General features: G+C 42.7%; 1 protein-coding gene across 6 annotated transcripts, besides 3 other annotated features; it reads right to left on the bottom strand.

The window, feature by feature from the left end:
* Positions 1–508: 508 nt before the first annotated feature.
* C5orf24 (chromosome 5 open reading frame 24) lies at positions 509–26,642 on the bottom strand. Of its 6 annotated transcripts, NM_001300894.2 has the most exons (3): positions 14,032–14,276; positions 4,917–5,346; positions 509–2,887 (listed from the first exon to the last, which is right to left on the bottom strand). In NM_001300894.2, exons 2-3 carry the CDS (start codon positions 5,341–5,343, stop codon positions 2,847–2,849), a joined length of 468 nt encoding a protein of 155 aa, NP_001287823.1. In that variant the 5' UTR covers positions 5,344–5,346; positions 14,032–14,276; the 3' UTR covers positions 509–2,846. The 6 variants fall into 6 exon arrangements, with proteins under 6 accessions (NP_001287823.1, XP_016864539.1, NP_689622.2 ...); XM_017009050.2 differs by lacking the exon at positions 14,032–14,276 and adding an exon at positions 26,621–26,642 and having other exon boundaries at positions 509–5,346; NM_152409.3 differs by lacking the exon at positions 14,032–14,276 and adding an exon at positions 14,507–14,564 and having other exon boundaries at positions 509–5,346.
* Positions 13,830–14,565: an enhancer, noted in NCBI's record as "H3K27ac hESC enhancer chr5:134181369-134182104 (GRCh37/hg19 assembly coordinates)". NCBI's record gives its function as "activates a minimal SCP1, AML or CMV promoter by ChIP-STARR-seq in naive H9 embryonic stem cells {active_cell/tissue: H9 hESC(naive)}" and the evidence as "EXISTENCE:reporter gene assay evidence [ECO:0000049][PMID:30033119]".
* Positions 13,851–13,900: a silencer, noted in NCBI's record as "silent region_16369". NCBI's record gives its function as "represses an Ori minimal core promoter by ATAC-STARR-seq in GM12878 lymphoblastoid cells {active_cell/tissue: GM12878}" and the evidence as "EXISTENCE:reporter gene assay evidence [ECO:0000049][PMID:35858748]".
* Positions 13,931–14,310: a silencer, noted in NCBI's record as "silent region_16368". NCBI's record gives its function as "represses an Ori minimal core promoter by ATAC-STARR-seq in GM12878 lymphoblastoid cells {active_cell/tissue: GM12878}" and the evidence as "EXISTENCE:reporter gene assay evidence [ECO:0000049][PMID:35858748]".
* Positions 26,643–27,754: the final 1,112 nt, after the last annotated feature.

Raw genomic sequence — 27,754 nt, 5'->3', positions numbered from 1 at the left:
AGCCTGGGCAACATAGGGTACCCCATCTCTACAAAAATTAAAAAATTAAGGCGTGGTGGCGGGCGCCTGTAATCCAGGCTACTCAGGAGGCTGAGGCAGGAGAATGGCGTGAACCTGGGAGGCGGAGTTTGCAGTGAGCGGAGATCGCGCCACTGCACTCCAGCCTAGGAGACAGAGTGAGACTCTGTCTCCAAAAAAAATAAAAATAAAAATAAAAAAATAAAAAATTAGCTGGGCATGGTGGCAGGTACCTGTAGTCCCAACTACTCGGGAGGCTGAGGTGGGAAGGTAGGAGGACTGCTTGAGCCGAGAAGGTTAAGGCTGCTGTGAGCTATGATCACGCCACCGAACTCCAGCCTGGGTGACAGAGTGAGACCCTGTCTTAAAAAAGAAAAAAAAAAAAGCAAAATTCTAAGAAAAACACAAGATCTACAGTCATGAAAAAGGTTTACCATTTACCACTTAAGTACTTGAAAAGTACCACACTAAAAAACATAGTAAACATAGCTGGTTTTAAAGTAATGACTTTATTAATAAATATACATCCATATGATGATGTAGATACAAATCATGAACACTACTCCATTCCCATACACATAATTGCACACGAGTAGCTCAAGTTCATGGACATAAAAACATACACAGTATCTATTCAGACTTTTTACAGCAGAGGACAGCGTGCTTATTATCAGTTAATTGGTAATTATTTTCTCCAAAATTACCTGTGGAAAAAAGAAATTCTGAAAACTTAAAAGAATCAAAGTGATCTGATTACTTTAAATCACACACTTGATTTACTATATAGCATTAAATTTTCCAAAAATTAAATACATTACATGTGAGAGCACAGATTTATATATTTGGAGGAGGGGGGAAAAAAGGAAAGATTCAGATACATCCTAGAGTTTAACAGCATACAGTTAAGCTGTAATAAAAACAAAAATAGAATAGCATCAAAATTTTTTATGTCCAAGGAAAAAAATCTTTTGAAAAACTGTTTTGAATTCTTTATATTCCTATAAAGGGACCATAAAATTTTACTGCATATAGAGACAATGACCGACAGAGTAGCAGTTATCAATAACCCCTGAATTGTTCTTTTAAAGCTTCTTAGAATATAAAGGAGAAATTTACTTTTTTTTTTCTTTAGCTCACACACTATGGTTATTTTTACACTGAATGGGTCAACTTTAACCTAATAAATGGACCCACATATATATTTTTTTCTCCTCAACTCAAAGAAACTCTATTCTTAGTTCATGAAAATAGACATGTAAATTCACACAAACATCAGTTTGGAATCAATATTACTTTGACAGATGTTTCTTTAAAAAGTAAATAAAAAATATAAAGAATTTTTAGTCTAATTAAAACATTGATTTTTTAAAATGTCCCTAAATATTAAAAATTAAACCAGATACTACTCATTTTCTTCCAATACATTGTGCCAATATATTTTTTAATATCCAATGCAAAACTCTAAAGATAGTATCAAAATCACCCTAAATACTACTTATGCAAGGTTATATCTGTCAAAAAATGAAAATTTCATCTGTTATTAGCTCATTTGCTAATATAATAAATAAGGCATGTTAAAGTACTTTTTAAAGAAAAAAGTAATGCAGACTTACTTGAATTGCAGATCATTTTCTGACCAACAGTTTAAATATAGAATAATGAAACCTATTTTGTGAAGAACAGAATTACACTGTATAAAATTAGCAATTTACCTTTCAAGAAACAATCATACAGTGGGGGAGAAAAGGCCAGTTTTCCCCAACTGATTATATTAAAGTATAGGCAACTGTTTAACATGCTATTTCAGTGTTTATCATAACAAGAGACAGTGTTAACAAAATATGCACAATGTAGTCTTTAGTTTATATAGCAGTAAAAATACTTTAAATTTTAAGACTTCATTCATGTTATCACTTAGATGTCTTTCTCTTCAGCATGGCACCGGTAAACTGTTCACAGGGAGAAAAGTAAGTGGAATCAGGAGATGCTCACCAGTGCATAGATATAATACTCCAGGTAACCGCTCAGATGAACAGTAAATTCGGCTTTCTAAATGATGTTATCCATTTACAACTGTAGCCATTTGCCCCTCCCATTTTTTTTTCCTGGGACATAGCTGCTGATAATAAACACTGTTATGAACATGCCTCCTTTAGTTGATCTCACCATTTCATAAACATGTATACAAAATTCATTATACAATAATACACCTGTTTTATCTTCTGACACACAGCACAGCACCAGTAAGTAGATGTGCTGGAGGGTAGAGGAAGAGGAATGAATGTACGAAAGGCAGGGGAGAAAGGGAAGGGTATGTATAACAAAATAAGGAAGGAAAATAAACTGAAAGGGAAATAAATGTCAAATGGACTTACTATAAAACACAATAATCAAATCTTTGACAATGGTGTGCATTATTCTATGGTAGAACATTAAACAAATGTCTTTAGAAACTGGCTTGAAAAAGATTTCTAAGCAGCCAACTGCTGAACATCATCTTGAGAAACAGCTAAATGACAGATACATGTACAGAGTAGGTAACGAACATATGAATAAAGAGGCAAGCATTTGTGTGTGTCAGAAGTTATACTGTTCTGAGTAAATTATTAAAAATCTTGTATTTTAAGCTTTTGCAAGAAAAAGCTCTTGTAGCAATTTAGCTGCCAGAATGTTATAACTGATTATGTAACCATCCAACATCGTTCTCTATGGTTTGTGCAAAGCTAATATTGTTGAGGTCACTGTCTTAGACGCCAGTGCACATAGTCCCCACATACAATGCAACACCTCTTACTGTAAAGAGCAGCATAAAGTCCAGCTCAATTGTGTCAGGCATCACTGGAACACCTGAAGGCTTGCTGCTTTTTTCCTGATAAAAAAGGTATGAAACATGACATCCATTTGCAATCAGAGTTTGCATTAATAGCAAGCCCAAAAAACACAACATGTGCTCTTTTAAAATTTTAATTATTTTAAAAGTTTTTGGGTCCTGCAATTCTACATTTTAATCTCAAAGGCATTTAAAATCCCAAATACAAACATTGTAACTTTAAAGTTAAGTGGAATTTTTTCAAGTCTGAAGTTTATAATATTTTATTTAGAACAAACTCAATAAATAAAATGTGTAACAAGAAGTATTACTTTCAGAAAGGAAAGAAGAAAGATTTCCCTCTGTCCCTACTATACATATCTACCTAATACTTTTTTTCCTTTCTATCTTGCTTCTAAAGCAAACATCATTGGGGGAAAAAAAATCTTTTGGATGAGATGGTCTCACTGGACCCACAATAAGATTTTTAATTAAACTAACCAACATATTTTTTACATGTTTCATGCATAGATGGATTCCTATATGCTTCTTAATATTTGGGTTCTGATGGTCGGGAAACTGCATTCTGTTTATACCAGTTTTACAGTCTACCATTCAATTTGTGTCCTTTGGTAGATATCAACCTGAAAACACAGTAAGTGCTAATGCAATGGGACAATTTCTGAGAAAAACTAAAAACGTTCCAAATAAATGAGCAACATCAATAAATGGTTTTATTTATTTATTTATTTATTTATTTATTTATTTATTTATTTGAGACGGAGTCTTACTCTGTCACCCAGGCTGGAGTGCAGTGGCACAATCTTGGCTCACTGCAACCTCCGCCTCCTGGATTTAAGCAATTCTCCTGCCTCAGCCTCCCCAGTAGCTTGGATTACAGGCGCCCGCCACCACGCCTGGCTAATTTTTATATTTTTAGTAGAGATGGGGTTTCACCATGTTGGCCAGGCTAGTCTTGAACTGCTGACCTCAAGTGATCCGCCTGCCTCGGCCTCCCAAAGTGCTGGGTGTGAGCCACCACACCCAGCCAATAAATGTTTTTAAACATAATACTTTAAAACTTTCTATATGAAAGGCAAAATATAGTGACTATAGCTACATGCAAACCTAGAGAATGCTTCTTTTTCTATTATATGAAATATGCTATCCTCAGAATGCACTATATTTCACCAAAAATGTAATGTGCAGTTTTTATAAAATAGTTTAAATTTTCTGTAAATATGAATTGTTTGTAGTGTTTGGTATATATGCTCTTAGGCAATTAAAAAATACACAACCTATCACTGCTCAAAGGCAAACACTGAAGAATTATTTCAGGTATAATGGTTAAATCAATTAATGCCATGTAGATCAATAAATTACAAGCTGCTTAAACCTAAAACATTAAAAATAAGTTTTTTAACATTTGAAGTGGATGTAAATGCCAAAGCATACAAATATGTGTCCCATCTTGTGAAAATAAATGTTACAAAAACTCACACAGCCATTACCTCAAGTAATCCTGATTCATTAGTTTGCTTTTTTGCTCCATCAGTTAAAAATACGTTAGTGTCTTTATTATACTGTAGGCTTACTTCACAAACTAATAGGTATAATGGTTTCAGTTGTTTATCACATAAAGCATCTATTTAGAACAGCCCCAAAGTAGTAATGAAACATGAGACATGACCATAACTCTAAAGGAAAAGGAAAAATGATTTAGTTAGGTGTTACACTTGAACCTATGTACAAATACAATGCCGCTGCTCATGCCCTGAGTGCATCTGTCAGCATATGGCAGTTTTTGAGCAAAAGCAGGAAAAAAACCAAACAGGAAAACAAATTTGGAAAGCCCAGGCCATAAAATTATGTATATCAAAATAAAACCAAGAAGCTTTGGGATTATTCACAATCTTCCTTCTAAACCTGGCCCTCTTTTCCTGCCTCATTCACTCATTGGGTGGTTTGACTTCACTGCTAGTTTCCTCTACCCCATGAACTGCTCTGCCATGCATCATAGGGTAAGGAAAAGCAGCAGTGCCACAGCCATAACCAAGATCGGCAAGACGGGATAGAGCTTTAATGCTACCTGGAGGTCTGCCTGGGCTGACTTTGTATCCCGCAGCTTTAGTTGTCCCCAAAGGTCTGCCTGGACTTGTCTTAAATCCAGCTGCTTTGGTGGTTCCCAGGGGTCTGCCTGTGCTGGTCCGGTATCCTGCTGATTTGGTGGTTCCCGAAGGCCGGCCACGCTTACCAGATCGGTTGAGATTCTTCTTTTTCTTTAGTTCATCTTTTATTTCTATGCTTCTGCCACTTGTAGTCTGCAAGTGTGTTTCATTTAATGGGTCTTGCCTCTGACAAACCATTGGTTTGTGGTTGACTGTGTGGCTGTATTTGCTTTGCTGGGAGGAATATATGTCAAACTGATCAGCAGCTCTCATGGCATCTTCATTGAGGCAGGAAGGCTTGCCAGGCCCACAGAAAGCTGGATTACTGCTGGCAACAGGATGCATCATTTTCTACCAAAAATAAAAGACAAATATATATAAATACACACACACAAATACATACCTGTATGCAGCATTCAGTGAGAAAACAGTCTGTCTTCCAACAACTATGCAGGCTACATAAAATTAGGCTAACAGGCAGGACTCCAGACCACTTATAAACAAACACACATCAGCAGATTCAAGGACACTTCTTCTCAATTTAATCATGGGACAAACATCATACAAGATAACTCTATTATAATACTGATTTCATAGCTATAATGCTCTCCAATTAGGAACCAGAAAAGTGTGTAAGTCAAAAACAAATGTTCTATTCTGTGGGCTTTTCTCTTCTAGATTACTAAACCTCAAAAGAATAATAGTAAAGCCAAGAACTCTTATTAACACAATTCTTTTTTTCAGTTTGCCTGATGTTCTTAGAATGCCTCCTGTTGGCCTTTTATTGTATTTCTCACATGCATACTTCTGGCCTGACAACAGTTTCCACAAGATGGACACTCCATCGTTATTGTAATTTATTATTTATACAGAACCCTGAGTATATGTTACACTTCACAAAAGACAGCATGTGCCAAGCAATGAACACAATCTCTACTGCTTCTTGGCCTTTTGGCTAAGATCAAGTGTAAAGAATACAATCTCTTGGCCCAAGGTACTGACTCCCTTCAAACATCCTCCATTCCAACAGAAGGCAGTACCAATACAAAAGGTAAACAAAGGTTTCCATTAGCTAAAATGAGTGAACATTATACAAATGCTTAAGACTTATACTACAAAAATATGGATAACAACCATAATAAAGTATCTCCTTTTTTAAAAAAATTTTTGAGATGGAGTCTTGCTCTGTCACCCAGGCTGGAGTGCAGTGACTCGATCTCAGCTCACTGCAACTTCCGCCTCCTGGGTTCAAGTGATTCTCCTGCCTCAGCCTCCTGAATAGCTGGGACTACAGGTGCCTGCCACCATGTTCGGCTAATTTTTGTACTTTTGTAGAGACAGGGTTTCACCATGTTGGTCAGGCTGGTCTCGAACTCCTGACCTCGTGATCTGCCCGCCTCGGCCTTCCACAGTGTTGGGATTACAGGCGTGAGCCACCGCACCCAGCCAATACCTCCTATTTGTAAGGTGTATTTATCAAGACAAAAAGTTGAATGTACAACATTGCTTTCTCCCTTGATCATAAATACAGTGTGGATCATCTTCCCTTACACCACAAGCCCTGTGACTTATTAAAGAACAGTCCAGCCAGGCATGGTGGCATCAGCTATAAGGGAGGCTGAGGTGGGAGGATCACTTGAGCCCAGGAGTTTGAAACAAGCCTGGGCAGCATAGCAAGATTCCTGCTCTTGAAATAGAAAAAAAAAAAAAAAAAAAAAAAGAAGAAGAAGAAGAAGGTCCAAAGTCTCTATTTTGTCTGTAAGGACATCCCTGTGATTTTTTTTTTTTATATAAAGGACTTATTAAAACCACTACCACAACAAACTAGCTCTAAATAGCCATATCATTTAGACAGAGGAAATGACAGGTTTTTTTTTTTTTTTTTTTTAGGTGGAGTTTCGCACTTGTTGCCCAGGTTGGAGTGCAATGGCACAATCTTGGCTCACCGCAACCTCCGCCTCCTGGGTTCAAGCGATTCTCCTGCCTCAGCCTCCCGAGTAGCTGGGATTACAGGCATGTGCCACCACGCCTGGCTAATTTTTTATTTTTATTTTGTATTTTCATTTTATTTTTTATTTTTTTTTGAGACTGAGTCTTGCTCTGTCACCCAGGCTGGAGTGCAGTAGCGCGATCTCAGCTCACTGCAACCTCTGCCTCCCGGGTTCACGCCATTCTCCTGCCTCAGCCTCCCAAGTAGCTGGGACTACAGGCACCCGCCACCACGCCCGGCGAATATTTTGTATTTTTAGTAGAGATGGGGTTTCACCGTGTTAGCCAGGATGGTCTTGATCTCCTGACCTCGTGATCTGCCTGCCTCGGCCTCCCAGAGTGCTGGGATTACAGGTGTGAGCCACCGTGCCCGGACTGTATTTTTAATAGAAATGAGGTTTCTCCATGTTGGTCAGGCTGGTCTTGAACTCCCAACCTCAGGTGATCCGCCTTCCTTGGCCTCCCAAAGTGCTGGGATTATAGGCGTGAGCCACCGTGCCTGGCTGGAAATGACAGTTTTATAGAGACTACAGTATTATGTTGTGATGAGGTAAAAGAGATAAAGATATGGGTTCCAATTCGGATTTATAAAGAGTCACAAATGTATATTAAGGTCCAGCCTCAAGTTGTTAGGAGATATTTGTGTGCACCCTTCATACATGTGAGAGTGCACCAAAACCTCAGTTATGAAAACAGTTACTCCTAGAGGCTGCAAACAGGTAATAAGGTTAGCGAAAACCACTGTAAACTTACTTTAGTTTGTAAAGGCAAAAGGAAATGAGCATGAAGTCACAGAATCAAATTCTGTTAAATTATGAAACATTTGCTGAGAATCAACAGAGCAATTGGCAAGCTGGCTTAAAGTCTCAATTTGATGGAAAAATATCTACAGTGAGAAGCTACTTGTTTATGGCAAAAGCTTTTTAGACTTGAGAACATAAAACAAGACTGGGCTAAACACAAATATTAAGTGGAATAATTTTTTCACTCATTCCCCACAGATACAAGAACTAGATTATTGGCCAGGCGCGGTGGCTCACGCCTGTGATCCCAGCACTTTGGGAGGCCGAGGCAGGCGGATCACAAAGTCAGGAGATTGAGACCATCCTGGCTAACACAGTGAAACACCGTCTCTACTAAAAATACAAAAAATTAGCTGGGCGTGATGGCACGTGCCTGTAGTCCCAGCTACTCAGGAGGCTGAGGCAGGAGAATTGGTTGAACCCGGGAGGCAGAGGTTGCAGTGAGCTGAGATCGTGCCACTGCACTCCAGCCTGAGTGACAAGCAAGACTCCGTCTCAAAACAAAAAGGACTAGATTATTAATTATCATTTCACTAGCTCAAATTCTAATTTCAGATGAGAAAAAAGGAGACTCTCAAGATGAGTTCCAAACATAGTATTGGCTGAAAGTTAGCAATTTTTTAGGATTTTGTTATGTGCCAGGCAATAAGCTTGGTTCTTTGCACATTATCTGATTTAATCCTCAGTACAAGCCTATAAGGAACATACAATATTATTTTACAGACTTTAAGCATTCTGCCAGGGTCACACATTAGGAAATGGTTAGCCAAATATGACTTTTGATGATTCAACTTCAGAACCAACAATTTACAATGTAGCATACCATGGTTTTTCAATAGCAGCACTGTCATTTGGGTCAGATAATTTTGTTGTGGTTTGTCCACTGCATTGTACAATGTTTAGCAGCATCCCTGGCCTCTACCCACTAGATGTCAGTAGCAACACCTCTCTCCCTTCCCCTAAATATTTGACAATGAAAAATTTCTCCAGACATTGCCAAATGTTCCCTGGGGGGTGGGGGGCGGGGAATCCACCCTTCACCATGAAATCACTTGATTATACTAAAATGAAAACACAGACCCAACTTAAAATATTCTCACTTAAGTTTTTATTCACCTTTTTAGCCTCTTCCTCACCAAATATCCACAAATTCTTTCTTACTGCAAAGTCAAATAGATTTGGTTTCCAAATGGAAGAAAAGCAAATGCCAGAATTAGTAAAGACAACCAGGATGGCCACGATGGCTCACGCCTACAATCCCAGCACTGTGAGAGGCCAAGGCGGGAAAATCACCTAAGGTCAGGAGTTCAAGACCAGCTTGGCCAAAATGGCAAAACCCTGTTTCTACTAAAAATACAAAAATTTACAAAAATTTTGTGGGGGAAAAAAAAAAGTTCTGTGACTTACCAGGAGGGTAACAAAAATAAATAAATAAATAAATAAATAAATAAATAAATAAATATATGTATTTCTGTATGTATAAAATATGTATGTGTGTGTAGTGTGTGTGTGTGTGTGTATATATATATATATATATGAACATTCATAATCTATCAGAGAACTCAGGATATACAGTCTCAGCTTACATTATGTTAGGCTTTTAGAGGCAAAATGCCACTATCCTTGACTCAGATATCAATCCACACTGAAAAAAACATACCATTAAAAAATTAGTCGTGCGGCTGGGCATGGTGACTCATGCCTCTAATCCCAGCACTTCAGGAGGCTGAGGCAGGCAGATCACCTGAGGTCAGGAGTTTGAGACTAGCCTGGCCAAAATGGTAAAACCCCGTCTCTACTAAAAATACAAAAAAAAATTAGCCTGGTGTAGTGGTGCACGCCTGTAATCCCAGCTACTCGGGAGGCTGAGGCAGGAGTGTCGCTTGAACCCAGAAGGTGGAGGTTGCAATGAGCCAAGATCGCAACATTGCACTCCAGCCTGGGAGACAAGAGCGAAACTCCAACTCAAAAAAAAAAAAACACTTGCAATTTTTAAAAAGCATGCATCTTGGCCAGCCATGGTGGTTCACGCCTGTAATCCCAGCACTTTGGGAGGCCAAGGCGGGTGGATCACCTGAGGTCGGGAGTTTGAGACCAGCCTGACCAACATGGAGAAACCCCATCTCTACTAAAAATAAAATTTAGTTGGGCGTGGTGGTACATGCCTGTAATCCCAGCTACTCAGGACGCTGAGGCAGGAGAATCGCTTGAACCTGGGAGGAGGAGGTTGCAGTGAGCCGAGATCATGCCACTGCACTCCAGCCTGGGCAACAAGAGCAAACTCCATCTCAAAGAAAACAAACAAAAAACCACATATCTCCATTTCTTCATTCCTTCAATATTGTCCAGAATTTATGCCTTTAGTTTGTATTATGTAAATTTAGTTCTGACATAACTCACATTTATTGAGGGCCAACTCCATGCAAAACACTATTCTAAGCACAAATTGACAAGAGTAAAGCTATTTATTCCAATGGAAAGATAATGAGACACTGACTTAGCCAGGTGTGGTAGCTCACGCCTGTACTCCCAGCACTTTGGGAGGCTGAGGCGGGTGGATCACTTGAGGTCAGGAGTTCGAGACCAGCCTGGCCAACAGGGAGAAACCCCGTCACTACAAAAAATACAAAAATTAGCTGGGCATGGAGGCATGCACTTGTAATCCCAGCTACTCGGAAGGCTGAGGCAGCAGAATTGCTTGAACCCGGGAGGCAGAGGTTGCAGTGAGCTGAGATCACACCTCTGCACTCCAGGCTGGGCAACAGAGTGAGACTCTCTCTTTAAAAAAAAAAAAAAAAAAAAAAAAAAAGACACTGACTTAACATTTCTGAAGTGCAGGGCTTCTGTATGTTCTATATATTCCTTCCCTGCTACTGCCAAGAAATCAGTACAGTATTCTACTTAATAATTAATAAACAAGCTGGACAAGGAATTTAATATGAGAATTACTCGTAAATAATTAACTTTAAAAACGCAAACAGAACTAAAACCAATCCTTTCCTATTTTCAGACTTCAACTTTATTAAGTTGGGAATCAGCACTATTAGATGCTTATGTGCATAACCATCACTATATATTTACATGCAGCATATTTATGTTTATATAAAAAGTATTTGCATGTGAGCTTAACCCTGCACTCCATAATGCCTTCCTCCTCCCACTTCCGAGCTAACTATTGTTGAAACACTCCCTTTTTTTTTTTGAGACGAAGTCTAGCTCTGTTGCCCAGGCTGGAGTGCAGTGACTTGATCTTGGCTCACTGCAACCTCTGGAACCCCGGTTTAAGCGATTCTCCTGCCTCAGCCTCCGAAGTAGCTGGGATTACAGGCATGTGCCACCACGCCCAGCTAATTTTTGTATATTTAGTAGAGATGGGGTTTCATTATGTTGGCCAGGCTGGTGTTGAACTCCTGACCTCGTGATCCACCCGCTCAGCCTCCCAAAGTACTGGGATTACAGGCGTGAGCCACCGCGCCCAGCCTCTTTTTTTTTTTTTTTTGAGACGGAGTTTCACTCTTGTTGCCCAGGCTGGAGTGCAATGGTGCAATCTTGACTCACCGCAACCTCTGCCTCCCGGGTTCAAGCGATTCTCCTGCCTCAGCCTCCTGAGTAGCTGGGATTACAGGCACATGCCACCACGCCCAATTTTTTTATTTTCGGTAGAGACGACGTTTCACCATGTTAGTCAGGCTGGTCTCGAACTCCTGACCTCAGGTGATCCGCCTGCCACAGCTCCCAAAGTGTTGGGATTACAGGCGTGAGGCACCACGCCCGGCTTTTTTTTTTTTTTTTTTTTTTGAGACGGAGTTTTGCTCTTGCCCAGGCTGGAGTGCAATGGCGCGATCTTGGCTTACCGCAACCTCCACCTCCCGGGTTCAAGCAATTCTCCTGCCTCAGCCTCCTGAGTAGCTGGGATTACAGGCACGTATGCTAGGCTAATTTTTATACTTTTTTTTTTTTTTAGTAGAAACGAGGTTTCACCATGTTGGCCAGGCTGGTCTCAAACTCCCGAGTTCAGGTGATTCGCCTGCCTTGGCCTCCCAAAGTGCCGGGATTACAGGCGTGAGCCACCACGCCGGGCGGAAAGACCCTTTCATTGAAAGTATGCAAGCGACATTTGTTTTTTGTTTTGTTTTGTTTTGTTTTGATATGGAGTCTTGCTCTGTCGCCCAGGCTGGAGAACAGTGGCCCGATCTTGGCTCACTGCAAGCTACGCCTCCCAGGTTCTCGCCATTCTCCTGCCTCAGCTTCCCGAGTAGCTGGGACTACAGGCGCCAGCCACCACGCCTGGCTAATTTTTCGTATTTTTAGTAGAGACGGGTTTCACCATGTTAGCCAGGATGGTCTCGATCTCCTGACCTCGTGATCCGCCTGCCTTGGCCTCCCTAAGTGCTGGGATTACAGGCCACAGCCACCGCGACCGGTCCCAAGCCACATTTCTTAAGAGTCAGAATGGTCCGGCGCGGTGGCTCAGGCCTGTAATCCCAGAAATTTTGGAAGCCCAGGTGGGCAGATCAGTTGAGGTCGGGAGTTCCAGAGTAGCCTGGCCTGGATAACACAGCGAAACCCTCTCTCTAAAAATCCAAAAAATTAGTCAGGCATGGTGGCGGGTGCCTGTAACTCCAGCTACTCCAGAGGCTGAGGCAGGAGAATCGCTTGAACCCAAAGGCGGAGGTTGCAGTGAGCCGAGTTCGTGCCACTGTACTCCAGCCTAGGAAACAGACTCCATCTCAGGAAAAAAAAAAAAAAAATAGGATGAATACTACATTTCCAGACAGCGTGGACTGAATAGAAGCCAAGAGTTATAGAACAGGTTGTGTAGACTATCAAAGGTTAAAGATCATCTTTTTAAATAGTTACTGAAGCCGGGTGCAGTGGCTCACGCCTGTAATCCCAGCACTTTGGGAGGTTGAGAAGGGTGGATCACGAGGTCAGCAGTTCGAGACCAGCCTGGTCAACATGGTTAAACACCATCTTTACTAAAAATACAAAAATTAGCTGGGTGTGGTGGCGCATGCCTATAATCCCAGCTACTTGGGAGGCTGAGGCAGGAGAATTGCTTGAACCCGGGAGGCAGAGGTTGCAGTGAGCCGCGATCGCGCCACTGTACTCCAGCCTGGGGGACAGAGTGAGACTCCGTTTCAAAAAAAACAAAACAAACAAAAACAACCAATAAATAGTTCCCTGAATGTACAGGAGTCAACTAAGAGCTTCTATATATTTGGACTGTGACTAAATTCGAATACTTAAAGCATAAGCTAAAACTTACCATCCTTGAAGTTGTTTTATTGTGTTTAACTCCTAAAGTTTAACCCCTAAAATGAGCCGTTCTTTATAGAACAATTCCTTTCTCTTCTCTTGAATGTGGCAGTCATTACTGCCAACATAAAGAAATGTAACTATTTTTAGTAACTTCACAAAGCATCCCTGAAGCTTTCTAAACATGGAGAAAGCTTCCTTTCAAGAAACCCAAGTTCTGTTCTCCAAAGATCAAAGATCACGTAATTCTCAGAGATTTATTTCAGGTCATTTGACTAACTATTATGTATAATCATATACGTTTCATAATTCTAAATGAAGATTTGCAACTCACCTCAATCACTCTGAAAGTCCATTCAGCAGAGGCCAATAGCCACGCACCCTGCCCCACCACGGAAAGTTTTGATAATAGGACGGCACATAAATAACGGCCTCCTTTGTCTTCTTCCTGCTCCTTAACTGTGCCCCACGGTGCACAAATAAGGACTCTCCTTATTTTGACACGAGGCGTTTAGAATGTATTACCTGTTGTGTGCTGAAAGCGACTATTAGCGTATTGGCAATAACAAGTTTGCAGAAGATGCACGCCACCCTAGAGAAAGGGTTGTGTACCCTCTAAAAAGCAAAATTCATAAGCCGCTATCCGTCCACTCGGAGTTCCGCAAGCGTAGAAGTCCACGGGCACTCCATCGCGACGCCGATCTCGAGCCGGCAGGCTTTTATTTAAAGGCGAAGGGCGGACTGCGGATTCTGACCTCTCAAAGAAAAGAAAGGGGGCTCCCTCCCCCCGCCGCAGGAGGAATGTCCCCCCGTAATGGCTCCACACCGGGGAAGAGCAGGCTACGTCCGGGGCCCCTCCTCTCACTCCGGCTACACTAGGGCCCCTTGGCAGGAGGCCTCTTCTCCCCGGTCAGCGAGGCGCCCGTTCTCGCCGCCGCCCTACCCCGCTCCCGGCCGGCTGACCAGCCCGCGCACCCCTACCTACCTCAGCCGCTCGTAGCCCGGCCCCTCGGCGCGTCTAGGGGCTTCCCAGCGGCTGGGAACCTCGTGCTGGCGCCGCTCCCTCCCCAGCCCGCCGCCTCTGCACGGTGCGGAGAACGGGCCAAGACGGAGTGGCAGGCAGCGAGGGCGGCGGCGAGGCAGGCGCTGGCTCCCAGCACCCGCCGCGGCCGCCGCGCACGGTCCTGCCCCGGACGCAGTACGAAGAGGCCGCTACCACCCTGTAGTGTTAGAGGCGGCGTGCGCGAGCTCGCGAGGGCCGCGCACGCACACGCTCACTCGCATCGCGAGACCCGATCTCCCGCCGCCAACCTGCACGCAAGCTTTGGGAGGGAGCCAGGCTGGCAGGCTGCGCTTGCGCGTCGTGGCCTTAAGCCTGAGCTGCTGGTGATCCGGCGTGGACCGTCCCCAGTGGCTGGGGTTGAGGAACCCACCAAATGGGGAATTAATAACTTCCTTACTTGTATTGGTTTTCACCACAATTCTGAGATGCTGGAACTCCTGCTGACCCCATTTCTTAGATACAGGACAAATAAATGATAGTCAGGGGAGTTGGGACTCTTCATGCCCAGGATCATGTGATAATGAAAAGCTTTATTTTATGGGACATCCTATGATCCACGCAGATTACAGGCGTAAGCCACCACGCCCCAGGAATTGTCGCATTCATTATTCCATAATCACAGGAAAGGATGGAACAACAAACTACCGCTATTATGTTTTTCTTGTGAGATATCTGACATATCAGTCACCTCACACAAACCCACTTAGAAGGGATTCATTTCCTCACTCCTTCCTCCTGTGAATTTCCAGATGTCAGAATGGAGAGGATCCAGAATTAGGGCAGCTACTGAAAGGGAGACACTTTATTAAGCAGTGGGAAGAGGCTAGAGGAGGATGCTTGCCCTTTTCCCCCATGTAATGAAGGATATTTGAGGATGGACAATTCATAGAACTGAGTTCTACCATAAGCACAGCCCTGAGCCAGGTACTGCCCTGCCAGTAGGAAAGAAAGGAGGAGAAACAACTTTTCTGGACAAACACACAAGCCAGGACACAACACACGAAACAAGCAAGCCCATTCATTCAAACTACTGAGGGACTGGAGACAGATAAGCCATGTGAACAGTTGATCAAACCTACACCAATAAAAACTCTGGACAGCCTGGGTGCGGTGGCTCACGCCTGTAATCCCAGCACTTTGGGAGGCCGAGGCGGGCAGATCACGAGGTCAGGAGTTCGAAACAAGCCTGACTAACATGGTGAAACCCCTTCTCTACTAAAAATACGAAAATTAGTTGGGCATGGTGGTGCGCACCTGTAATCCCAGCTACTCGGAAGGCTGAGGCAGGAGGATCGCTTGAACCCAGGAGGTGGAGGTTGCTGTGAGCCGAGATCGCACCACTGCACTCCAGCCTGGGACAGAACGAGACTCCGTCTCAAACAAACAAACAACAACAACAACAAAAAACTCTGGACACAAAGCTCAGGTGGAATTCCCTGGTTGGGAAGCTAGGATTTTTTTGGCAGACGGAGATTCATAACATGATTCTAAACATCATTCCAACTAGGTGGAGTGATTCACACCTGTAATCCCAGGACTTTGGGAGGCCAAAGCAGGAGGCCAGGAGTTTGAGACCAGCCTGGACAATATAGAGAGATTCTGTCTCTACAAAAAATAAAACAATTAGCTGGGTGTGGTGATGAGTACTTGTAGTGCCAGCTGCTACGGAGGCTGAGACAGAAGGAAGGACTGAGATAGGAGGAAGGAGACTGAGGCTTCCTTAAGCTGTGTTTGTGCCACTGCACTCCAGCCTGGGCAACAGAGTGAGACCCTGTCTCAAAAAAATAAAATGCTAAAAAAACAGGATTAATCATGCTAGTGTTATTTATATGTAAAAGGAAAATACCAATATAGAAAAGTTAAAATATGTACACAGATTTTAAGGCATATTAAGTAGCCTATCTAAAAACAAGTTTTTTTTCTAAGCAAGGTTTTTTTGCTCTTGAGGTGGAGCACTCCCATACCATATAATCACTATTCCAAATCTGTAACTCTAAACTCTTGTCTGAAATGGCATTTGTACATAAAAACATTTAAGAAAAAGAAATTTTCATTCTAAAAAAGTCAAGTAATTTGCAGGCCCAATGGAGGGGTAGCCAGAATAACAAAGAAGTCAGGCAGCCCTGAGTTTGAATGCCTTTCTGCCACTTGCCTCCCATGGTATTTTGGGCAAGTCATTGCTCCACCAAAAGTTTCCACATGTAAGAAATTAAGACAATGTCTTCCTTGTAGAGCTGTGAAATTAAATAAGGTAATAGGACTATTTAAATATCCATCAGTGGCCAGGCACAGTGACTCATGCCTATAATCCCAGCACTTTGGGAGGCCAAGGCGGGTGGATCCCCTGAAATCAGGAGTTCAAGACCAGCCTGGCCAACATGGTGAAACCCTGTCTCTACTAAAAATACAAAAAATTAGGCATGGTGGTGCATGTCGCTAAATCCCAGTTACTCGGGAGGCTGAGGCAAGAGAATCGCTTGAACCTGGGAGGCGGAGGTTGCAGTCAGTTGAGATCGTGCCACTGCACTCCAGTCTGGGTGACAGAATGAGACTGTCTCAAAAATAACTCAGCTTAGCTACTTGGTAGGCTGAGGCGGGAGGATCGCTTGAGCCTGGAAGGCAGGGATTACAGTGAGCCACGCCACTGCACTCCAGCCTGGATGACCAAGCGAGACCCTGTCCCAAAAGATATAAAGAAAAAAGAAAATATTCACCACTACTTAGATGTTCATTATACTATTCTATTTTCAAATATTTACCATTTTCCATAAAATATTTTAAGCTCATACAAGTTATATTGTTCTTGAAAATAACCAAATAATTCCAATAAAATCTTGAATAAGAATTCATGGGAATAAGGCCAGGCACGGTGGGTCATGCCTGCAATCCCAGGACTTTGGGAGGCCGAGGCAGGTGGATTACTTGAGGCCAGAAGTTCCAGAACAGCCTGGCCAACATGACGAAACCTCGTATCTAGTAAAAATAGAAAAATCAGCCAGGTGTGATGGTGCACATCTGTAATCCCAGCTACTCGGGAGGCTAAGGCACGAGAATCACTTGAACCCCAGAGGTGGAGGTTGCGGTGAGCCAAGATTGGCCACTGCACTCCAGTCTGGGCAACAGTGAGACTGTCTCAAAAAAAAAAAAAATTATGGGGACAAATATTCATCATTACAGCTAAAGGGAATAACTGAGGAAGACTTGCAAAGGATTTGAGTTTCGAGTTTGGATTTGAAAGTGCCAGACATGAATTGGTGGAGTAGAAGCTGTGGTGGCTACAGGGAAGACAAAAGCAAGTACATTTATAATGGTGGAACCTTTGCCCACTGAATGCTCCAGGAAGGGTTGGAAGTGGGCTTTAAATGCCACTTTAGTCTGGAGATATTTCACAGAAGCACCATGAGCCAGGAAATATCAGCAAGAAATCTCCAGCCAGCTCTCTTTAGAAGGAGATCTAGCCACCAAGATGAAACTGCACACTTACATCAGCTGATGACCTTAGTAAAATAACACCAGCCATTTGGTGAACCACTAGCTAGTGGGTATTTGATCAAGGAATAGGAGACATTCCAGGTTTACTCACCCTCTGACACATCTACTCATTTATGCTATATGTTGACTTTAGCTTTTTTTTTTTTTTCAGATGGAGTCTCACTCTTTCACCCAGGCTGGGTCACTGGATTATGGCCCAATCTTGGCTCACTGCAACCTCCACTTCCCGGGTTCAAGCGATTCTCCTGCCTCAGCCTCCTGAGTAGCTGGGACTATAGGCATGTGCTACCATGCCTGGCTAATTTTTGTATTTTTAGTAGGGACAGGGTTTCACCATGTTGGCCAGGCTGGTCTTGAACTCCTGACCTCAGGTGATCCTCCCACCTCGGCCTCCCAAAGTGCTGGGATTACAGGCAGGAGCCACCGTGTGCAGCCAACTTATTTTAGATTCAATGGAGCAGACAAATGTTATAACCATGCAAAATAGTGCTTCAAGAAAATCTAAACTATCTTCACAATAGTCACTATGAGAGAAATAGTGACCAATTCATTTTTTATATAGGAATTTGCTACCACTCTAGGCAGCTCCTCTTATAAAATTCTAAAATTCTATAAACTTCTAAAATTTGACCTCATATTAAAGCAATCAGCCTCCTACTAATGTCTACCCACTGTCCTAGTTTTTTAGACTCACATTGCACAAAGTTAGTCATGTGATTCCACTTGACTCTATAAGGTGCTCATTTAGTTCAGGCCTCTAGAAGCTCTTTTTTGGATATATTATAAATATTATAACTAATCTCCACTATGTAGCTCCTCTGTACTTCTTCAGCCATCCCCTCCCCCAAAGTCAGGCATAGCCATGTGACTTGCACTAGTCAATGAAAGTGACAAATGCAAGATTCTCTGAGATTCTTCTCTGCCATTAGGACTGTGATGTTAGAGTTGCCATCAGTCTGGATCCTGGATTCTGGGGTTAGATAGATGTGAAGTAAAGCTTCTCCTCTTACAACACATGAGGATAATTTAGCATAGATGAGAAATAAACTTTTTTTTTTGAGACAGTCTCATTCTGTCACCCAGGCTGGAGTGCAGTGGCGAGATGTTGGTTCCCTGCAACCTCCACCTCCCGGGTTCAAGCGATTCTCATATCTCAGCCTCCCAAGTAGCTAGGACTACAGGCACGAGCCACCACACCTGGCTTTTTGTATTTTTAGTAGAGAGGGGGTTTCACCATGTTGACCAGCCTGGTCTCCAACTCCTGGCCTCAGGTGATCTGCCCACTTCAGCCTCCCAAAGTGCTGGGATGACAGGCGTGAGCCACTACACCTAGCCCAGAAAAATTAAAAAAAAAAAGAAATCACTGAGATTTTTCTTACTACACCATAATCTAGCTGTAGTAACTGGAAACTACAAACGTTATTTTTACCTCTGATGAAAAGCTAAGAGAGAATTGAAGAAATAACATAATCCAAAAAAATTGAGGAAACGGGCCCTTCTACGATGTAGAGGGGCAGGTGTAAAAAATTTAACCTTGCCAAAGAACAGTCTGGCCTTTACTGCTGGCTTCTTGGAAGTAATCCCTAAACCCTTGGAATGTCATGCTTCATAGTGTTTTTGTTTGCCTGGGGCCGTGGGTCATGCAAGATAGTCTAACAATGTGATTTAGTGTGAAAGAGCTGGGTCACATGGTATCAGCTCCACCTCCTGAGGGACTGAAAACTGATCAGCCATATGGCTAATTAATCATGTCTACATAATTAGCTCCAATAAAAACTCTGGATACCAAGGCTCAGATGAGCCTCCCAGACAGGTGCAATGGCTTATGCCTATAATCCCAGCACTTTGGGAGGCCGAAACAGGAGGACTGCTTGAGCCCAGGAGTGGGAGATCAGCCTAGGCAACAACATAGGGAGACCCTGCCAATACCAGAAAAAAAAAAAATGCCAGGCATGGTGGCACATGCCTGTGGTCCCAACTACTTAGGATGCTGAGGTGGGAAGATTGTTTGAGCCCATGAGGTTGAGGCTGCAGTGAGCTGTAATCACGTGACTGTACTTCAGATTGAATGACAGAGTGAGACTCTGTCCCCAAAATATAATAAACCAGGCACGGTAGTTCACGTGTGAAATCCCAGCATTTTGAGAGGCTAAGGAGGGAGGACCACTTGAGCCCAAGAGTTTGGGGCTACAGTGAGCCATGACCATGACACTGTACTCCAGCCTGAACAACAGAGCAAGACCTGGACTCAAAAAATATACAAATGAATGAATAAATAAATAGGGTGCTGCTAAGGCCACATCACTTCCCTGTTCTTTTTTTTTTTTTTTTTTTTTTGAGATGCAGTCTCGCTCTGTCGCCAGGCTGTAGTGGGGTGGTGCAATCTTGACTCACTGCAACCTCCGCCTCCCGGGTTCAAGCGATTCCCCTGCCGCAGCCTCCCGAGTAGCTGGGACTACAGGTGCACACCACCATGCCAGGCTAGTGTTTTGTATTTTAGTAGAGATGGAGTTTCACCATTTCGGCCAGGATGGTCTCGATCTCCTGACCTCATGATCCGCCCACCTTGGCCTCCCAAGTTTCTGGGATTACAGGAGTGAGCCACCGCACCCAGCCACTTACCTGTTCTTAAGGTTAAGTTACTCTAGGCTAGGTGTGGTGGCTCACGCCTGCAATCCCAGCACTTTGGGAGCCTGAGGCAGGCAGATCACTTGAGGTCAGGAGTTTGAGACCAGCTTGACCAACATGGTGAAACCCTGTCTCTACTAAAAATACAAAGAAAAAAAAATTAGCCAGGCATGGTGGCACGCACCTGTAATCCCAGCTACTTAGGAGGCAGACACGAGAACTGCTTGAACCTGGGAGGTGGAGGTTGAAGTGAGCTGAGACTGCGCCATTGCACTCCAGCTTGGGTGACAGTGAGACTCTGTCTCAAAAAAAAAAAAAAAAAAGGTAAAGTTACTCCTTAAATTTAACACTTGCATTAGCATCTACAATAACAGCATCCTCTTTCCAGTCCCTTCAGCTGCAGGGTATGAATAATAAAAGCAGTATTGACATATTCTAATAATGCTGCTTGATATAAGCAGGCCAAACTGAAAAAAACTAAAATACCATGTATGTACCACAAACCACATCTTCTATATAGTATTTATTGTTACCAGACAGGCAGGCTTTGGAATGAAGATAGATACGGATTTAAATGCCAGGTCTGCCACTTACTAGCTGTGTGACCATAAACAATTCAACAAGTATTTATTAAATGCAAAACTGAAGATACAAAATATAGGACATGGACTGTGATCTCAGGGAGCTCATATTCCACTGAAATCATTGAAATGGACAATCAAACATATCATTGGAATTTGGTGTTAAGTGCAACAAGAATGGTGGGTCTGATGTTTTTAGAAAATTAACTCAGATTGGGTTTTTTTTTTTTTTTGAGACAGGGTCTTGCTCTGTTGCCAGGCTGGAATGCAGTGGTGTGATCATGGCTCACTGCAGCCTCAACCTCCCCAGGCTCAGGGGATCCTCCAACCTCAGCCTCCCAAGTATCTGGGACTATGGATGTGTGCCGGGCCAATTTTTGTATGTTTTGTAGAGACAGGGTTTCCTCATGTTGCCCAAGCTGGTCTTGAAGTCCTGGGCTCAAGTGATCCTCCTGCCTTAGCCTCCCAAAGTGCTGGGATTACAGGTTTGAGCCACTGTACCTGGCCAGATTGGTCTTAATGAGGTGCTATAGTACACACAATACATACATAATGTACTGTCAAATGCAGAGGCTTTTTCAAGGGCATAGGTATTTATCAGTAAGTACTTCATCTGCAACAAGACCATACTTAGACAATTTTTTTTTTTTTTGTAGAGACGAGGTCATGCCATGTTGCCAAGGCTAGTCTCAGACTCCTGGCCTCAAGTGATCCCCTCACCTGAGCCTCTCAAAGTGCTGAAATTATAGGGATGAGCCACTGTGCCTGGAGTACACTTTTATTTGTTTGTTTGAGATAAAGTCTTGCTCTTTCACTTAGGCTGGAATGTGGTGGCGTGATCTCGGCTCACTGATTCTCCTCTCAGCCTCCCGAGTAGCTGGGATTACAGGTGCCTGCCAACATGCCTGGCTAATTTTTGTAGTTTTTTAGTAGAGACGGCGTTTCATCATGTTGGCCAGGCTGGTCTCAAACTGACCTCAGGTGATCTGCCTGCCTCAGCCCCACAAAGTGCTGGGATTACAGGCGTGAGCCACCGCATCCGGCCGGGAGTGCACTTTTAAACATCACACTATTCCACTTATCTCCCAACATTTTTTCTTCAAAAGTATACATCCTTGAAATACAATTTGAACTCAATATAACATTTTTCATAGTTTCTCCAAAAGCTTCAGCCTGGCCCAAGGTAGGCCATATCACATAGGCAAATCACCAGTGAATTTGTCTTTTGAATGATAAATAGTGATTATATAAATGTGAATAAAAGGAATATTTGTCTATATCTGGAATTTGGCTGCCTCTAAAGACCTTTCAATTGAGGGTACAAGTGTTTTTGTTTTGTTTTGTTTTTAAATACAGACGGGGTCTCCCTATATTGATCAGACTGGTCTTGAACTCCTGGGCTCAAGCAATCCTCCCGCCACTGCCTCGCAAAGTGCTAGGATTACAGGTGTGAGCAACCACACCCAACCCAAGTGTTCTTAGATACTTTCATATACATAGGAAAAAAATGAATCTTGCTTTGTACATTTTAACTTATCAGTAACAGCTGACTGTCCCTGCTAAATATATAGCTTTATATCAATAATAAAAAGAAAGATAGGGTCTTGGTCTGTTTTGGCTGCTATAACAAACTAATGGACTGAATGGCTTACAAAAGACAAAATTTTATCTCTGGAAGCTGGAAAGTCCAAGGTCAAAGTACTGGCCAATTTGGTGTCTGGTAGAGAGCCAGCTTTCTGATTCACAGACAGCTTTTTTTTTTTTTTTGCTATGTTCTCACATGGCAGAAGGGGCAAGGGAGTTCACTGGGGTCTCTTTTATAAGGGCACTGATCCCACTAGCCCTCATGACATAATCACCTCCCAAAGGCCTCCAAATACTATCAAATTGGGAATTAGGTTTCAACATCATGAATTTGGGGGTAGGGGGAGGGTACAAACATTCAGTGTATAGCAGAGAGCATAAGAAAATCTACCCCTATTCACCCATTATAATAATAGTGCCAGCCAACATTTATTGAATGCTTACCATATGCCAGGCACTATTTTTACGTGCTTTAAGCATATTTATGCTTTAAATGTATTATTTCACCTCATCCTCATAACAATCCTAAGATGTACATATTATATCTGAATTTTATATATGAAAAAACAGATAAAGTGGCCAGGCACAGTGGCTCACGCCTATAGTCCCAGCACTTTGGGAGGTCAAGGCGGGTGGATCACCTGAGGTCGGGAGTTCTAGACCAGCCTGACCAACATGGAGAGACCCCATCTCTACCAAAAATACAAAATTAGCCGGGCATGGTGACGCATGCCTATAGTCCCAGCTACTTGGGAGGCTGAGACAGGTAAATCACTTGAACCTGGGAGGCGGAGGTTGCAGTGAGCTGAGATCGCGCCATTGCACTCCAACCTGGGCAACAAGAGTGAAACTCCATCTCAAAAAAAAAGAAAAAACAGATAAAGCATTTAAGCAAGCCCAAGGTTGTTCAAGTACCCTCCCAATATACATACTTGATTATGTATATGAACTGTTATACCAATACAGTAACAATATATTATATAGCAACATATTATAAAAAACTTAACAGGCTGGGAGGGGTGGCTCATGCCCGCAATCCCAGCACTTTGGGAGGCCGAGGTGGGCGGATCACGAGGTCAGGAGTTCGAGACCAGCCTGACCAATATGGTGAATCCCTGTCTCTACTAAAAATATAAAAATAAGCCAGGCATGGTGGCACGTGCCTGTAATCCCAGCTACTCAGGAGGATGAGGCAGGAGGATCACTTGAACCCGAGAAGCGGAGGTTGCAGTGAGCCAAGATTGCGCCACTGCACTCCAGCCTGCATGACAGAGTGAGACTCCATCTCAAAAAAAGCAAAAACAAAAACAAAAACAATAACCTTACACAAAGTAAAATTTTAAAGAAAGGATGAGATTTAGAAAGAAAAATAAGGCCAGGCGGGCCCAGTGGCTCACGCCCGTAATCCCAGCACTTTGGGAGAGCAAGGCAGTTGGATCATCTGAGGTCAGGAGTTCGAGACCAGCCTGACCAACATGGTAAAACCTTGTCTCTACTAAAATTACAAAAATTTAGCCAGGTGTGGTGGCGGGCACTTGTAATCCCAGCTACTTGGGAGGCTGAGGCAGAATCACTAGAATCCGGGAGGCGGAGCTTGCAGTGAGCTGAGATCACGCCATTGCACACCAGCCTGGGCAGTAAGAGCAAAACTCTGTCTCAAAAAAAAAAAAAAAAAAAAAAAGCTTCTCAATGACCAGCCAGACATCAGGATGTAAAAAATAAATAAATGAGTATAGGCTTCTCACTAAGTTATTTTTATTTAGAAAAATATATCTTTCATTTAAAAATATTTACTTAACACATATGGGTTGTGAGTTTTTTATAAATATTCTACAACTTAAAAAAATAAAGAAAGAAAAAAAAATCCAGGTGCGGTGGCTCATGCCTGTAATCCCAGTAGAGGAAGGAGGATTGCCTGAGGCCAGGAGTCTAAGATTAGCCTGGGCAACATAGCGAGACCCCACTGCTACAAAAAATAAAAAATTAGCCAGGCATGGTGGCACACACCTGTATAGTCCTACTTACCTATTCAGGAGGCTGAAGTGGGAGGATCACTTGAGCATAGGAGTTTTGAGACTACTGTGAGCTATGATCATGCCACTGCACTCCAGCCTGGGCAACAGAGCAAGACCCTGTCTCTGAAAGTAAAATAAAGAAGAAAAAAAAACACAGAAGCTTCAAAATTTTCTTCCTGCTTTTCTTTTTGAGATGGAGTTACTCTGTCACCCAAGCTGGAGTGCACTGGCACGATCTGGGCTCACTGTAACCTCCACCTCCTGGATTCATGCAATTCTCCTGCCTCAGCCTCCCAAGTAGCTGGGATTATAGGCGTATGCCACCATGCCCTACTAATTTTTGTATTTTTTTAGTAGAGACTGGGTTTCACCATGTTGGCCAGGCTGACACTCCTGACCTCAAGTGATCTGCCCACTTCGGCCTCCCAAAGTGTTGGGATTACAAGTGTGAGCCAACGCATCCGGCCTCTTCCTGCTTTTCAATAAATTACTGTCACGTACCCCACTTTGGAGACCACAGCTTTAGTTCACAGGCAGTCAAAATCCAAGAGCAACAGTGAAGATTACCAGTATTTCTCAAACTTAAATGTGTATCATAGAATGATTACCACCCCCAGATATACTTTTTTTTAAGACAGTCTTGCTCTGTTGTCCAGGCCGGAGTGCACTGGCGTGATCTTGGCTCACTGCAACCTCTGCCTCCTGGGCTCGAGCAGTTCTCATGCCTCAGCCTCCTGAGTAGCTGGGATTACAGGAGCACACCACCACGCCGGCTAATTTTTTTTTTTTTTGAGATGGAGTTTAGCTCTGTTATCCAGGCTGAAGTGCAGTGCCGCAATCTTGGCTCACTGCAACCTCTGCCTCCCAGGTTCAAGTGATTCTCCTGCCTCAGCCTCCCGAGTAGCTGGGACTACAGGCACATGCCACTACACCGGCTAATTTTTTTTATTTTTAGTAGAGACAGGTTTTACTATATTGGCCAGGCTGGTCTCGAACTCCTAACCTTGTGATCTGCCTGCCTCAGCCTCCCAAAGTGCTAGGGTTACAGGAGTGAGCTACCGTGCCTGGCCTTGTAGTTTTGATAGAGACAGAGTTGCACCATGTTGGCCAGGCTGGTCTCAAACTCCTGACCTCAGGTGATCCACCCTCCTCGGCCTCCCAAAGTGCTGGGATTACAGGCATGAGCCACTGTGCCTGACCCCAGACACATTTTCAGGAGCAAAATTAAACCAATAAAAAGTTACAGAGGAATTTATGCTCTCTTTGAAGCTCCCAAGCATCCAGCCCTGCCAAGCTTTCCAAATCCTGTGCCACAGACACAGGCTGAGGGCTGGTTTGGGGATAGGGAGGACTCTTTTCCAAAGTTAACAGTATACTTTTGGGAGTATCAGCTCCAGAAAGACTCCCTTAGGCAAAGGCACAGAGAAAAGATGTTGCCTTCAAGGTTTCTGGGAATGGCTGGAAGGCACTTGAGAGCCTCCTAGGATTTCAGGGATAAAGGCCAAGGACACTCTAACATCCAAAGCTGCTACAGAAGTGCCTGAAGTTGCCAGGCTGCTAAAAATCCAATCACTACCAAGTTCAAATGAAAAGCTTTTTCTGTAGAAAGAACATGTTTTTCACACTGAATCGTCCCACATATCCCTTATTACACAGTATGCAAAGTTGTGAAGAGAGACTAATATTCAAAACATGGGCAACTAGGTATTTCTATATATTAAAAATGATTAGTTTTTTAAATTCTGAAATTCTGTCTTTTAAAGTAATCCTAACATGTGAGAGTAATGTTGAGTTCCAATTCCCCCAAAAGGTTAAACTTCCCTTTTTACTTCATATTTTTTTTCTTCCCAAAAGAACATGGTTAATGCAAAGTTAGAATTTCTTCTTTAAGGCTTGAGTTTGAAAAAAATCATGAACTCCTGTAAGTTGTTGCCATATTTGGAAGAGAACAAGTTCAAGACAAATAATCAAAAGTAAATTCCTCACCAGTCATGTAACTTGACAGTATGCACTCACACACACATAGCAGCTAAACCAAAAGGCACTTTTAAAGGGGAAAGTCAATACTGTGGGGACTTTGTGAAGAATACCTTTACACTTTCTCTTTGCATTCCTACTTGGACCCCTGCCTGAGAAAAATAATAAATTTATATATATTTTTAGAAGGCCTTCAAATATCCGTTAACAGTCAACATATCAGGGAATTTTTACCTGGTAAGGGAAACGTAGCTGTCTTTAGCTCCAGAGAGCTGACCTAAGAGTAGAGCAGATGTTTCATTAACCAGTATGTAAGACATTGCTATACTCCAAGTTAAGCATCTCACTTCAGTAAGTTTGCTTTCTGATGGTTACACCCAAACTAAATAGTTAAGACTCTCCCTCACCCCTCTACATACATTTACTCTCTCACTCCTGATACTTAACACACATAAATATACATACACGTACCTTTTTAAAAGATAAGCTTCAGTATGCCAGAAGCAGAAGGCATGAGAAAATGTCAGTAGATTCCCATTCGTAGGTAAAACTATGTACCAAAATGTGAAGAACTGACAGCTCTAGACTCAAATCTGACTGGAAGAGTATTTGAATGGCCCACATTGGGCTAGACACTCAGAACTCTTGCCTGCTTTAAGAACTTAGCATGATCCAGCCGAGCGCCGTGGCTCACGCCTATAATTCCAGCGCTTTGGGAGGCCGAGGCAGGTGGATCACCTGAGGTCAGGAGTTCGAGACCAGCCTGGCCAACATGGTGAAACCCCATCTCTACCATAAAAATACAAATTCAAAATTTGTATTCAAATTCAAAATACAAATTCACCAGGCATGGTGGTGAGCACCTGTAACCCCAGCTACTCGGAGGCCACAGCAGGACAATCACTTGAACCTGGGAGGCGGAGGTTGCAGTGAACCGAGACTGCACCACTACACTCTAGCCTGGGCAAAAGAGCAAGACTTTGTCTCAAAAAAAAAAAAAAAAAAAAAGAACTTAGCATGATCTATAAAGCAGCAAAATGGCACATTTTACTAAATAAAGTGTAGCTATTTATACTAGACTTCATTTAGACAACAATTTCCCCACAACCTCCTATTTTAAACAATATGCTAATCTGTCACTAAAGGACTTTGGCTGATGGCTTTATAAATCAAAGCATGGCACCAATAGTAAAAAGAGGTCAGAAACAACTGAGTTACAACTTTGGCGGTTTTCCTTTCTAGTTTGTGCTTCTTAAGATTCTGCTGTTACTTTGAAGCTGATTTCACAGCTAGCTGAATGGGATTTATAAATCCTAAGTATTCAATAGCTGGTTCTCCTTTAAAACAAACAAACCCAATTCTATACAT

The sequence above is a fragment of the Homo sapiens genome, chromosome 5 (assembly GCF_000001405.40).
Source record: "Homo sapiens chromosome 5, GRCh38.p14 Primary Assembly".
Taxonomy (NCBI): domain Eukaryota; kingdom Metazoa; phylum Chordata; class Mammalia; order Primates; family Hominidae; genus Homo; species Homo sapiens.
This window is presented reverse-complemented; position numbering and strand designations above follow the sequence as displayed.